Source organism: Homo sapiens, chromosome 13 (assembly GCF_000001405.40).
Source record: "Homo sapiens chromosome 13, GRCh38.p14 Primary Assembly".
NCBI classification, from domain to species: domain Eukaryota; kingdom Metazoa; phylum Chordata; class Mammalia; order Primates; family Hominidae; genus Homo; species Homo sapiens.
The window spans coordinates 19,834,403-19,847,482 of record NC_000013.11 but is presented as its reverse complement, the minus strand read 5'-3'; the positions used below and the strand labels follow the sequence as shown (position 1 = coordinate 19,847,482).

The following is a 13,080-nucleotide window of genomic DNA, read 5'->3' as shown; positions in this document are numbered from 1 at the left end:
ATCTGGCTTCTCATATGTATTTCTGTATTGAGTCTGTTGTAGTATTTTGTTTTGCTTGAAGTATAAGAAGAAAATCTGGCCTCACATAGATAGGTGGTTGGAGAAGGGAGGACTATTTTCCACGTCTTTTTAGATGTGGATAGTTTTCTTTTGATGCAGCACCAAAACTTGACAATTAGTAGTTTTCGAGGTTGTTACAATGTGGGATTTGTAACCGTATAATTAAGTTTTCATCACCAGGCGCAGTGGCTCATGCCTATAATCCCAGCACTTTTTGAGGCCAAGGCAGGCGGATCACTTGAGGCTGGGAGTTCGAGACCAGCCTGGCCAACATGACAAAACCCCATCTCTATTAAAAATGCAAAAAATTAGCTGGGTGTGGTTGTGCATGCCTGTAGTCCTAGCTACTGGGGAGGCTGAGACACAAGAATCACTTGAACCTGGGAGGCCTAGGTTGCAGTGAGTTGAGATCATGCCATTGCACTCCAGCCTGGGCAGCAGAGCGAGACTGTCTCAAAAAAATTTTTTTCATACTGTTTATTTTTAATTTTTTTATGTGTCAGCATCCCACTCTGTTTCCCAGACTAGAGTGCAGTGCCATGATCATAGCTCACTGCAGCCTCAAACTTCTGGGCTCAAGTTATCCTCCCACCTCAGCCTCCTAAGTAGCTGAGACTACAAGTGCATGCCATAACACCCTGCTAGTTTTTTTTTTCCTTAAAAAAAAGGGGGGGACTGTATTTGGTACAGACTGGTCTATTAGTTTAAAATCTATTGATTTTGAATGGATTTTTAACCTTTGTATTAATAACATTGTGCATTGGTTATTTGGAAAATATTGGTTCACTCAGATCCTAAATGTTGACACTTTAGGAAGCTGTCAAGTTCATGGTGGTGGATACAGGCTTCCAAAAATTCGCCTTTTTTTTTTGGCTAGTGACACAGCCCTCAGGAGGTCCTGAGAACATGTGCCCCAAGTTTTCAAAAATTCTGATTTTTCACTTGAAAGCTCATATTTTCTCATCAGCAACAAATACTCTGTTTTCTTGAAGTGATGAACTCTTTTGAGTTATTTTTAAGAAAATGTCTCCAATAGTCATAGTTTGTCATTTTTTTCAAGTAAAAATGGTATTCCATGAAAAATGGCTAGTTCAGCTTATAGTCCAGCAACTGTGCAAGCACTTTTCTGCTTTTCAGTAAGATAACCTTTGTACTTTGGTATGAAACAAATACTTTATGCATACTACCCAGTTTGTCATACAGAAAATTAAGATGTCAAAGGCTAAACTTTAATGAAATTATTAATAACTTTTACTGTTTCACCAAAGACATCTGTAGTAAAAATTATTTTTGTCCCTGGTTCCTGGAAGAGAGACTCTAAATCCTTAAAATTTCCAAGTATCTTTGTTATATTCATAAGCTCCTTGGATCATACCTGAATTTACGCCAAGAGATGAGATGACTCACAGTGGAGTCTAAACACCAGAAAGATGAACTATAGGATTGAAACTTGGGTCTTTGAGCCAGCCCAAAGTCTGGGAGAGGAGGGGATCTGGAGCTGAGTTCAGTCATATGACCAATGAGTCATGCCTACGTAATGAAACCCAAATAAAACTACTCTAGATTTTGAAGCTCAGTGCAGCCTTTTGGTTGGTGAACACATCAGTGTGCCAGGCAGGTGATGCTACTGCTTCCACTGAAAGCTGGCCCAGAAATTCTGCATTTGGGACCCTCCCAGACCTTGCCTTATGAGCTTCTTCATTTGGCTGTTTCTGATTTGTATCCTTTGTTTAAAAAAACAACAAACAACTAAATGTAAATATAGAGCTTTTCCAGAGTTCTGTGAGTCTTTCTAACAAATTATCCAACCTTGGGAGCCCCTCCCAGATTTGTGGCCAGTTGATTAGAAGTGCAGCTGGTATCTGAAGTGAGGGCAGTCTTGCTGAGAACCAGGCCTTTAAACTTGTGGGGTCTCATGCTAACTCTGAGTACATTAGCATCAGAATTGTTTTCCATATATACCAGTTGGTGTTAGGATAACATTCATAAGTGAAGGTGACCAAATGCATACTAGTGAAAACTGCTAGTACGGTTTAGTGCCATTGCCAGAGGTTTTGCATTTCCATCATTAATGCAAATGCCACATAATACAAAAAGCAATAAATCTTGGTATTACTATGGAAATAGTTGACTTCACACATTCCCTTTTGTTTCTTTTTCTAATACAAGGCTGAATACAAGTAGACTATAAAACCTTATTTTGTTCTTGACCTCAGGGAAGCATTGGACATATCATTATATTATTAGATCATATTAAATATAATTATCTGTTAATGTTTATATGTCATTTAGTAGTTTGTTATTTGGGGTAGTTTCTACTGTTTGCAATTACAAACTGTTTCTCATAAACATCTCTAAGTTTGGCACCCTTATTTTCTTGAAAAGTTTTTAGAAGTAGATTTGCATTCAAGATGTCAACATATTTTTAAAGCATGTGATGGTTAATACAAAATTCCCCCACCACCAAATTGTGTTACTTTTCTTGCAGCATAAGAGTTTCAGCGGGGTGCGATGGCTGACGCCTATAATCCCAGCACTTTGGGAGGCCGAAGCGGGTGGATCACTTGAGGTCAGGAGTTTCAGACCAGCCTGGCCAACATGATGAAACCCCGTCTCTGCTAAAAATATAAAAAATTTGCTTGGCGTGGTGACGGCCACCTGTAATCCCAGCTGCTCAGGAGACTGAAGCAGGAGGGTTGCTTGAACCCTGGAGGCAGAGATTGCAGTGAGCCGATATTGCGCCACTGCACTCCAGCCTGGCAACAAGAGCGAAACTCCATCTCAAAAAGAAAGAGTTCTTTTTCTGTACTGTAAACACTCCTTAACAGTAGGTGTTATTACTTAAAGCTTGCTAAACTGAAAGGTGGTATCATCATAATTTGCATGTCATTGACCATTGACAAATATATTTGAAATTTTTAATGAATTTTCTCAAATTCACATCTGTCACCCATTTATTACTATGTACATGTCTTATTAATAGTTAAACCTGAGACAACATAGAACTCTTGCAATCTCTAGGTTGTGTTAAAAGCAATGAAGGTGTCAAAGACTTTGAAATAATGTCCATTGAAAATCATCCTTTTGAGTCTACTTTTACTTATTTATTTTTTGAAACAAGGTCTGGCTCTTTCGCTCAGGCTGGAGTGCAGTGGCACATTCTCGGCTCACTGCAACCTCCACCTCCCGGGCTCAAGCCATCCACCCACCTTAGCCTCCCAAGTAGCTAGGATTACAGGTATGCATACCACCACACCTAGCTAATTTTTTTTTTTTTTTTTTTTTGAGACGGAGTCTCACTCTGTCACCCAGGCTGGAGTGCAGTGGGGCGATCTCGGCTCACTGAAAGCTCTGCCTCCCGGGTTCATGCCATTCTCCTGCCTCAGCCTCCCGAATAGCTGGGACTACAGGCGCCTGCCACCACGTCCACCTAAATTTTTAAGTATTTTTTGGAAGAGACAGGGTTTCACCATGTTATAGCCAGGATGGTCCGATCCCCTGACCTTGTGATCCACCTGCCTCAGCCTCCCAAAGTGCTGGGATTACAGGCGTGAGCCACCGCACCTGGCCCCCTTTTTTTTTTTTTTGAGACAGAGTCTCACTCTGTCACCCAGGACGGAGTGCAATAGCGCAATCTCAGCTCACTACAACCTCCGCCTCCCAGGTTCAAGCCGTTCTCCCACCTCAGCCTCCCTAGTAGCTGGGATTACAGGCGTGTGCCACTGTGCCCAGCTAATTTTTGTATTTTTTGTAGAGACAGGGTTTCTCCATGTTGCCCGGACTGGTCTCGAACTTGTGAGCTCAAGCCATCCACCTGCTTTGGCCTCCCAAGTGCTGGGATTATAGGCATGAGCCACCACACTGTGCCTGTTTATTTCTTTCACTCTTTATTTGTTTTATAATACTTTCTTACATTTTAGATATTTATTGCTTGTTTTAGATGTCATTCATGTTTATATAAGCATGAATTCCATCTTATATAAATAAAAGCTCTTTCATGGAAACTAGAAGCCTTGCTATATATTCTTTTTTTTTTTTTTTTTTTTTTTTTTTGCTGGAGTGCAGTGGCGCAATCTCGGCTCACTGCAACCTCTACCTCTGCTCTACCTCTACCCCGTCTCTGCTAAAAATACAAAAATTAGCTGGGCATGGTGGCGCATGCCTGTAATCCCAGCTACTTGGGAGACTGAGGCACGAGAATCACTTCAACCTGGGAGGTGGAGGTTGCAGTGAGCCAAGATCACACTCCAGCCTCGGTGACGGAGTGAGACTCTATCTCAAAAAAGAAAAAAAAAAACTGTTAAATCTGCTGGATGCAGTGGCTCACGCCTGTAATTGCAGCACTTTGGGAGGCCGATGCAGGAGGATTGCTTGATCCCAGAAATTTGAGACCAGACTGGGCAACATAGCGAAACTCCATGTCCATGTAAAAAAACTTTTTTTTTTTTTTTTTTTTTTTTTTGAGATGGAGTTTGGCTCTTGTCTCCCAGGCCGGAGTGCAGTGGCATGATGTTGGCTCACTGCAACCTCTGCCTCCCAGATTCAAGCGATTCTGCTGCCTCAGCCTCCCGAGTAGCTGGGATTACAGGCACCTGCCACCATGCCCAGCTAATTTTTGTACTTTTAGTAGAGATGGGGTTTCGCCATGTTGGCCAGGCTGGCCTCGAACTCCTGACCTCAGGTGATCTGCCTGCCTTGGCCTCCCAAAGTGTTGGGATTACAGGTGTGAGCCACTGCGCCCAGCCAAGAAACCTTTTTTTTTTTTTTAATTAAAAAAAAAAAGCTTAAGTCATCTGTCAAAAGGATAGTCTTTTTGTAGTTGTTGCTATTTTTACTCTTTAACTTGACATAGCATAGATAAAAGAAGTCCGTTTTTAGTATTAACCTTAAATTTTCTTTTTACTTGCTGTCAGCATTAGTACAACAAATTAGGTTTTACCAGGAAGCTTTAAGAATAAGATGACATTGATTATATTATTATGTTGTTGTTTGAAGTCAAAGTTCCTCCAGAATGTGTTACTTTAGTTGCTGTGTATTTCCCATGTAGATAAATTGAAGGTTTTGTAGTACAAGAGAAAAAACGGGCAAGGATTTCTGGAGTTGAATTGTATTTAAATTTAGGTCTTATGGGTTTAAATTTCATCATATAAAACTGGCTCTTGACAGCCCCCTGCGGGAAAGGGTCTGGCCAGCCCATGGGGTAGGTGGGTTGGTGGAAGGAAGCTGGCAGCACCAAAAGGAAAACCAATACAACTGGCTCTTCATAAAGTACACGTAAAACTGCATTCCGTTTTATGAAAATAGGATTGGCCAGGCGCAGTGGCTCATGCCTGTAATCCCAGCACTTTGGAAGGCCAAGGCGAGCAGATCACGAGGTCAGGAGATCGAGACCATCCTGGCTAACATGGTGAAACCCCATCTCTACTAAAAATACAAAAATTAGCTGGGCGTGGTGGTGGGCGCCTGTATTCCCAGCTACTCAGGAGGCTGACGCAGGAGAATGGTGCAAACCCAGGAGGCAGAGCTTGCAGTGAGCTGAGATCACGCCCCTGCACTCCAGCCTGGGCAGCAGAGCAAGACTCTGTCTCAAAAAAGAAAAAAAAAATAGGATTATATTTGTTAGAAAGGACCATTTAATTCTTTCTTTAACTTTTAGGGTACACTATGTTTCAGTGAAAGTTCTCCAGTTCCCACATACTTTTGTATAAACAGTACAAAAAAAAAAAAGCTCATGAGAGAAAATACCTAAATTTAGAATTTGCTCTTACATCTTTTGTATTTTTGTTGCATTATAAACATTTCTGACCATGATACTGACTCTAGGGAGTTTCATTTCTGATACCTAGGTAACTCCTATCCCTCTTGCTGAGAATAATTAGGGAAAAAATGACAAAATGTATAAAGTATCAGACATCAAGAGCTACAAATAACAAATGGAAAAACTAAGGTTCCAAGATCTGAGAGAAGAATTGGGGCTGTTTTTCCCTATTGAATATGTGTTCAATTCCAGAAAAGGCTGCAGAGAAGCTAAATGGAGTTTTCAGTAGACACTGAGGACCTGCAAAGAGGAGTACTGATAAAAACCCCCTTCCAACCTATGGATTAAAATGCTAACATCATCCAGAGCCTCACAGATTGTTGTAATTTTTCATATAAAAATAGGTCAGGCCCAGTGGCTCACGCCTGTAATCCCAGCACTTTGGAGGCTGAGGCGGGCAGATCACGAGGTCAGGAGTTCAAGACCAGCCTGACCAACATGGTGAAACCCCATCTCTACTAAAAATACAAAAATTAGCCAGGTGTGGTGGCGTGCTCCTGTAATCCCAGCTACTTGGGAGCCTGAGGCAAGGAGAATCCCTTGAACCTGGGAGGCGGAGGTTGCAGTGAGCGTGCCAGTGCAAGACTCTGTCTCAAAAAAAAAAAAAAAAGTAAAAAGTGGCCAGGTGGGCCGGGCGCGGTGGCTCAGGCCTGTAATCCCAGCACTTTGGGGGGCCAAGGCGGGTGGATCATGAGGTCAGGAGATCAAGACCATCCTGGCTAATACGGTGAAACCCCGTCTCTACTAAAAATACAAAAAATTAGCCGGGCATGGTGGCGGGTGCTTGTAGTCCCAGCTACTCAGGAGGCTTGAGGTAGGAGAATGGCATGAACCCAGGAGGTGGAGCTTGCAGTGAGCCGAGATCGCACCACTGCACTCCAGCCTGGGCGACAGAGCGAGACTCCGTCTCAAAAAATTAAAAAAAAAAAGTGGCCAGGTGTGGTGGTTCATGCCTATAATTTTAGCACTTTGGGAGAGCGAGGCAGGAAGATCGCTTGAGTCCAGGAGTTCAAGATCAGCCTGGGCAACATAGTGAGACCTTGCCTCTACAAAAAATAAAAAAATTAGCCAGGTGTGATGGCATGTGCCTGTTGTCCCAGCTACTCAAGAAGCTGAGATGGGAGGATCGCTTGAGCCCAGGAGTTCAAGGCTGCAGTAAGCTGTGATCATGCCACTGCACTTCAGACTGGGCAACAGAGTGAGAAGCTGGGACTGCAAGCGAGCGCCACCACACCCAGCTAATTTTATTTTTTGTAGAGATGGGGTTTTGCCTTGTTACCTAGGCTGGTTTCAAACTCACTGGCTTCCAGTGTCCCAAAGTGCTGGAATTACAGGCATGAGCCATTGCACCCTGCCTAGGCTGAGTCTTAAACCTCTGGCCTCAAGTGATCCTCCCGCCTTAGCCTCCCAAAGTGCTGGGATTATAGGCATGAGCCACCTCACCTGTCCAAAAGCTGTTTTTGAAGATAGATTACAAAATAATTCTTTATCATAGAACCTTGTTTCTCAAAGCTTCACCATCATCTGAGAGTTGGTTAGAAATGCAGAGTATCAGATTTCTTCTCAGACCTACTAATTTAGAATCTCCATTTAAACAAGATTCCCAAGTGATTTAATATGCACAATAAAGTTTGAGAAGGATCTCGCCTATAAGTAATACTGTACCTTTTGAAGCTAACAGTAATTTATGATACTGCAGTTGCTATGTAAGGTTAGGAAAGCTGAGTTTTTCCTGAGTAATCCACAATCTATATTAATGCCTGATAAGTAATATTTTAGAAGGCTGGGAAATAATAATAGATTTATATTAAACTACTGCGTCTAAAGTATTTTGAAAGTAAGTGTACTAATGTCTACAATTTACTTGAAATACATAGAAAGAGATGGATTGATTGTTTAGTGGTATGAGTAGACAGAAAGATGTGATTAGGCTGGGAGTGGTGGCTCACGCCTGTAATGCCAGCACTTTGGGAGGCTGAGGCAGGTGGATTACTTGAGGCCAGGAGTCCGTGACCAGCCTGGCCAACATAGTGAAACACCCTCTCTACTAAAAATAGAAAAAAAAATTTAGCTGGGTAATCCCAGCTACTCGGGAGGCTGAGGCAGGAAAATCGCTTGAACCTGGGGGGCAGAGGTAGCAGTGAACCGAGATTGTGCCATTGCACTCCGGTCTGGGAGAAAGAGCGAGATTCTGTCTCAAAAAAAAAAAAAGTAGCTAATATTTTTTGAGTGTGCCTGTGTGCCAGGCATTACTTTTATGTCATGTGTTCTTCATAGCACTCTGATGAGTTAGGTATCATCAATTAGTATATTTGTATAATATTACATTCAGGAGATCTTTGAACCTGGAGTCTGACTTAAGAGCCGATGGCTACCACATTACACAATTCCAGACGCCAACATTTACTTTATTATTATTGTTGGCACAGTGGAGTATCATTCACTTGAGATACAAAGTGGATAGTCCCCCTGGGATTGTGCATCAAGAGTGTTTGGCCTTAACCACATGTTTATACGCCTGCCCCACTTGTCTCTTAAACTCTTAAATGAAAATGCAAGTTATTTTTCTGATGTACATTTTGATTTGTTCCATGATTTTTTTCTTGTTTCATTTTTAAGATTCTTGGATCTCCCAGTCAGCTTCATTTCCCAGTAATCAGAAACAGCCAGGGGTGGATTCTTTATCACCAGTGGCCTTACTTCGTAAGCAGAATTTCCAGCCTACAGCCCAACAACAACTTACTAAACCAGCTAAAATCACTTGTGCAAATTGCAAAAAGCCTTTACAGAAGGGACAGACAGCTTATCAACGAAAAGGATCAGCTCACCTCTTTTGCTCTACCACCTGCCTTTCTTCCTTCTCTCATAAACGTACTCAAAACACACGAAGCATAATATGTAAAAAGTAAGCAGTACCTTTCAACATTTCTCCACATAGTTGAATACTAATGGTATAAATAAGTACTCAATATAACTGCAGAGCTGGATAGATTTATGGGTAGAATTGTTGCAGGAGTGTCTTCAAGTTTATTGAGCTTGAGCTCCTAGAATATATCCAAGCTGTGGACTCGTATGTGCTGTATTTACTCTCGGCAGAAAAATGGAACATAGGTTTGGAAATCAATTGCCCCTCTCCCTGCTACTACATTTGCCTCCCCTGCTCCCCCATCTTAACACCTTAGTTCTATGAATTTATTACCAGCATTTTGGTTTGTTGGTTTGTTTTTGAGACGGAGTCTCACTCTGTTGCCCAGGCTGGAGTGCAGTGGCACGATTTCCACTCACTGCAACTTCCACCTCCCAGGTTCAAGCGATTCTCCTGCCTCAGCCTCCCGAGTAGCTGGGATTACAGGTGCGCGCCACCACGCCCAGCTAATTTTTTGTATTTTTAGTAGAGACAGGGTTTCATCATTTTGGCCAGGCTGGTCTCGAACTCCTGACCTCAAGTGATCTGCCCACTTCAGCCTCCCAAAGTGCTGGAATTACAGGTGTGAGCTACTGTGCCCAGCCTATTACCAGCATTTTTGAATGCATCTAAAAATCTTAAAAACTTGTGGCAAGGTTCTTGTGCTACGAAAGATTTTTATCTCTGACTCTTCTCTTTCTGTATCATTTAAGAACTCTTGGCAATAAAGCCAAAAGTGGATTTGCTGCATCTAAAAGTTATACTTGATTTCTAGTATTAAATCATAAGAAAATGAAAAATGGCAATTATTATTAATATATTTGACTTGTATTAAAATTCAGTGTTCTTAAATTATGTGTCTATCCCTTCTGTTTCAGAGATGCATCTACAAAGAAGGCTAATGTCATTCTTCCAGTAGAATCAAGCAAATCCTTCCAAGAATTTTATAGTACATCTTGTTTGTCTCCCTGTGAAAACAACTGGAATCTTAAAAAAGGAGTTTTTAATAAGTCAAGATGTACAATTTGTAGTAAATTAGCAGAGGTCTGGATTTTTATACCTAAGTTGTTGTTTAGGCTAACAGTGATAATTTTAACTTTTAAGTGCTATTATGTACTCTTTCATCTACATAATGCACGTGTTCTGGATGTATAACATGAAGCTGAAAGGAAGAATAAGGATATGTTAGAACTATCTTATGGGATATTTTATAAATAAAATTCCATTTGCATAGCATGGAAAGTACACATCTGTTTCTATGGAATTGTTGTGCTCATAAACAAGGCAATTGTTTTATGGTGGATTTTGTTATTACTGATGACATTAAATAAAAATGTAGTCTCAAGAGTTGGGGGTCAAGGGCTGGAAAACTACCCCTTGGGGCCGGACGTGGTGGCTCACATCTGTAATCCCAGCACTTTGGGAGGCCGAGGCAGGTGGATATCTTGAAGTCAGGAGTTCGAGACCAACCTGGCCAACAGGGTGAAACCCAATCTCTACTAAAAATACAAAAATTAGCTGGGTGTGGTGGCGCAAGCTACTTGGGAGGCTGAGGCAGGAGAATCGCTTGAACCAGGGAGGCGGAGGCTGCAGTGAGCTGAGATTGCGCCACTGTACTCCAGCCTGGGTGATAGAGCAAGACTCTGTCTCAAAAAAAGAAAGAAAAAAAAAAAAACAAAAAACAACATACCCATCTAACAAACCTGCACATGTATTCCCTGAATCTAAAAGTTAAAATTAGAAAGCAGCAGATCCCGGTACAAGAACACATGGAACAAGTGGAGTGAATGTATGCTGTTTGCTTAACATTCAGTGATATTGCAATCTTCCCATTTCCTAGAAGAGAAGAAACATGCATGCAGGCAGTCCTCACTTTATAAAAGTCTTTGGTAACTAAATTTGGTGTTGGTTACCCCTGAGTCATGCATATCAAGAACATGATTTTATCTCAGTTACCACAGTGAGAACTACCCTGCTTCTGGTTATACAGACACGATCCTGAATACAGATAATATTGATTCCCTTAGCTCCCTCCACAAATGTTCTAGGGCAGTGAACTTTACTTACAATACCATCTAAAAATTGTTGATCCTTGTTGATGAGTGACTCATACATATAATCCCAACTGCTTAGGAGGCTGAGACAGGACAATCACTGGAGTCCAGGAGTTTGAGGTGGAGTGAGCTATGATTGTACCACTGCTTTCCAGCCAGGGTGATAAAGCAAGAGACACTATCAAAAGAAAAAAAAAGATTGTTGACCCATTTCCTTTAAGCGGGTCATGTCAAAATCTTCTAAACCAAAGTCAGGTGTGGTGCTGCAAGCCTGTAATCTGGGCTATTCAGGAGGCATGAGTAGAGGGCTTGCTTGAGACCAGGAATTCGAGCCCAGGGCAACATAGCAAAAACTTGTCTCAAAAAAAAAAAAAAAGTTCATTATCTGTTGTTATTAAATGTCTTTAGGGAAGTTATTATTGATTTTATTGCTTTCCTATGAATCTTGTCCTCTTTTGTGAAATCAAAGTGATCTTACAAATAAAGGAAAAAATAAAATATGCTTTTTAAAAATCTTTTCCCAGCTAGGCATGGTGGCTCATGCCTGTAATCCCAGCATGTTGGGAGGCCAAGGCGGGCAGATCACTTGAGGTCAGGAGTTCGATACCAGCCTGGCCAACGTGGTGAAACCCCGTCTCTACTAAAAATAAAAAAATTAGCTGGGCGTGGTGGCGGGCGCCTGTAATCCCAGCTACTTGGGAGGCTGAGGCAGGAGAATCGCTTGAACATGGGAGGCAGAGGTTGCAGTGAGCCGAGATTGTGCCACTGCACTCCAGCCTGAGTGACAGAGTGAGACTCTATCTCAGAAAAAAAAAAAAATCTTTTCCCTGGGTATATCTTCCTCTGAGATATGATTAGGGATTCTTTGCTTCTATTGCAGAAACTAGTTATCTCATTGCTTGCTATGCTAATCTGGTTCATATATCTTAGTTAATGAATTCTGGTTTTTCTTTTAGATTCGCCATGAAGTCAGCGTAAATAATGTAACACATAAACTGTGCAGTAACCATTGCTTTAATAAGTACAGATTGGCCAATGGTCTAATAATGAACTGCTGTGAACACTGTGGAGAGTACATGCCTAGTAAGAGTACTGGAAACAACATCCTGGTGATTGGAGGTCAGCAGAAGAGATTTTGCTGCCAAAGTTGTATTAACGAATATAAACAGGTAATTCTTTTTCATGAGCTTTAAATGATCAAATATATAGTAGCTTCACCCTTACATCTTACATGAACCGGATTTATCTTAGAATCTCATTTAATTCCATTTTGCCATTCTGTCATTGGTTTGTCCCATCTCAAATATTCAAGTCTAAGATTGTTGTAAGCTTGTTTTAAAAATTTTCTTTGGGCTGGGTGCAGTGACTCACTTGTGTAATTCCATCATTTTGGGAGGCTGAGGTGGGAGGATTGCTTGAGCTCAGGAGCTTGAGACCATCCTGGGCAGCATAGTGAGACGTAATCTCTACTAAAAATTTTTTAGAATTAGCCGCAGGCATGATGGCATGTGCCTGTAGTCTCAGCTACTTTGGAAGCTGAGGTGTAAGTATTGCTTGAACCTGGGAGATTGAGGCTACAGTGAACTATGATTGTACCACTGCACTCCAACTAGGCAACAGAGCGAAAGCCTGTCTCAAAAAAAAAAAAAAAGAAAGAAAATGATCAGGCACAGTGGCTAACACTTGTAATCCCAGCACTTTGGCCAAGGCAGGCAGATCACTTGGGGCCAGGATTTTGAAACCAGACTGGGCAACATGACAAAACCCCCTGTCTACTAAAAATACAAAAATTAGCCAGGCGAGTTGGTGTGTGCCTGTAATCCCAGCTACTTGGGAAGCTGAGGCATAGGAATCACTTGAACCTGGTAGGCAGAGGTTGCAAACCCGAGATCATGCCACTGCATTCCAGCCGGGGTGACAGAGCAAGACTCTGTCTCAAAAAAAAGAAAAAGGTTACTCCTGGATGAATTTAAAAGACTAATTTTTCTTCTGTACCATTTAGCACTCCCACTAAGCACTTGATAATTCTAGTTGCTCTACATTCTGACCAAAATTTGGAGCCAGGTGAGGTGCTTCACGCCTGTAATCCCTGCACTTTGGGAGGCCCAGGTGGGAGAATCAGCTGAGGCCAGGAGTTCAAGACCGGCCTGGTCAACATAGCCAGACCCTGTCTCTACAAAAAAAAAAAAATTAAAATGTGGTAGTTGTCTGTTTTGTCTATCAGGTCTTCAGCCCATTTTTTA

General features: G+C 41.7%; 1 protein-coding gene across 15 annotated transcripts in view; it reads left to right on the top strand.

The window, feature by feature from the left end:
• ZMYM5 (zinc finger MYM-type containing 5) overlaps positions 1 to 13,080 on the top strand; it is a 40,168-nt gene that overhangs the window by 16,167 nt on the left and 10,921 nt on the right. For 5 of the 15 annotated variants that reach the window (XM_047430769.1, XM_047430768.1, XM_011535310.3 and 2 more), the window contains one exon: positions 11,794 to 12,006. In XM_047430769.1, the coding sequence (XP_047286725.1) occupies positions 11,794 to 12,006 (213 nt within the window). Of the gene's footprint in view, positions 1 to 8,497; positions 8,784 to 9,661; positions 10,020 to 11,793; positions 12,007 to 13,080 lie in introns of those variants that run through there. The other 10 variants (XM_005266594.4, NM_001142684.2, XM_006719894.4 and 7 more) reach the window with 4 other exon arrangements.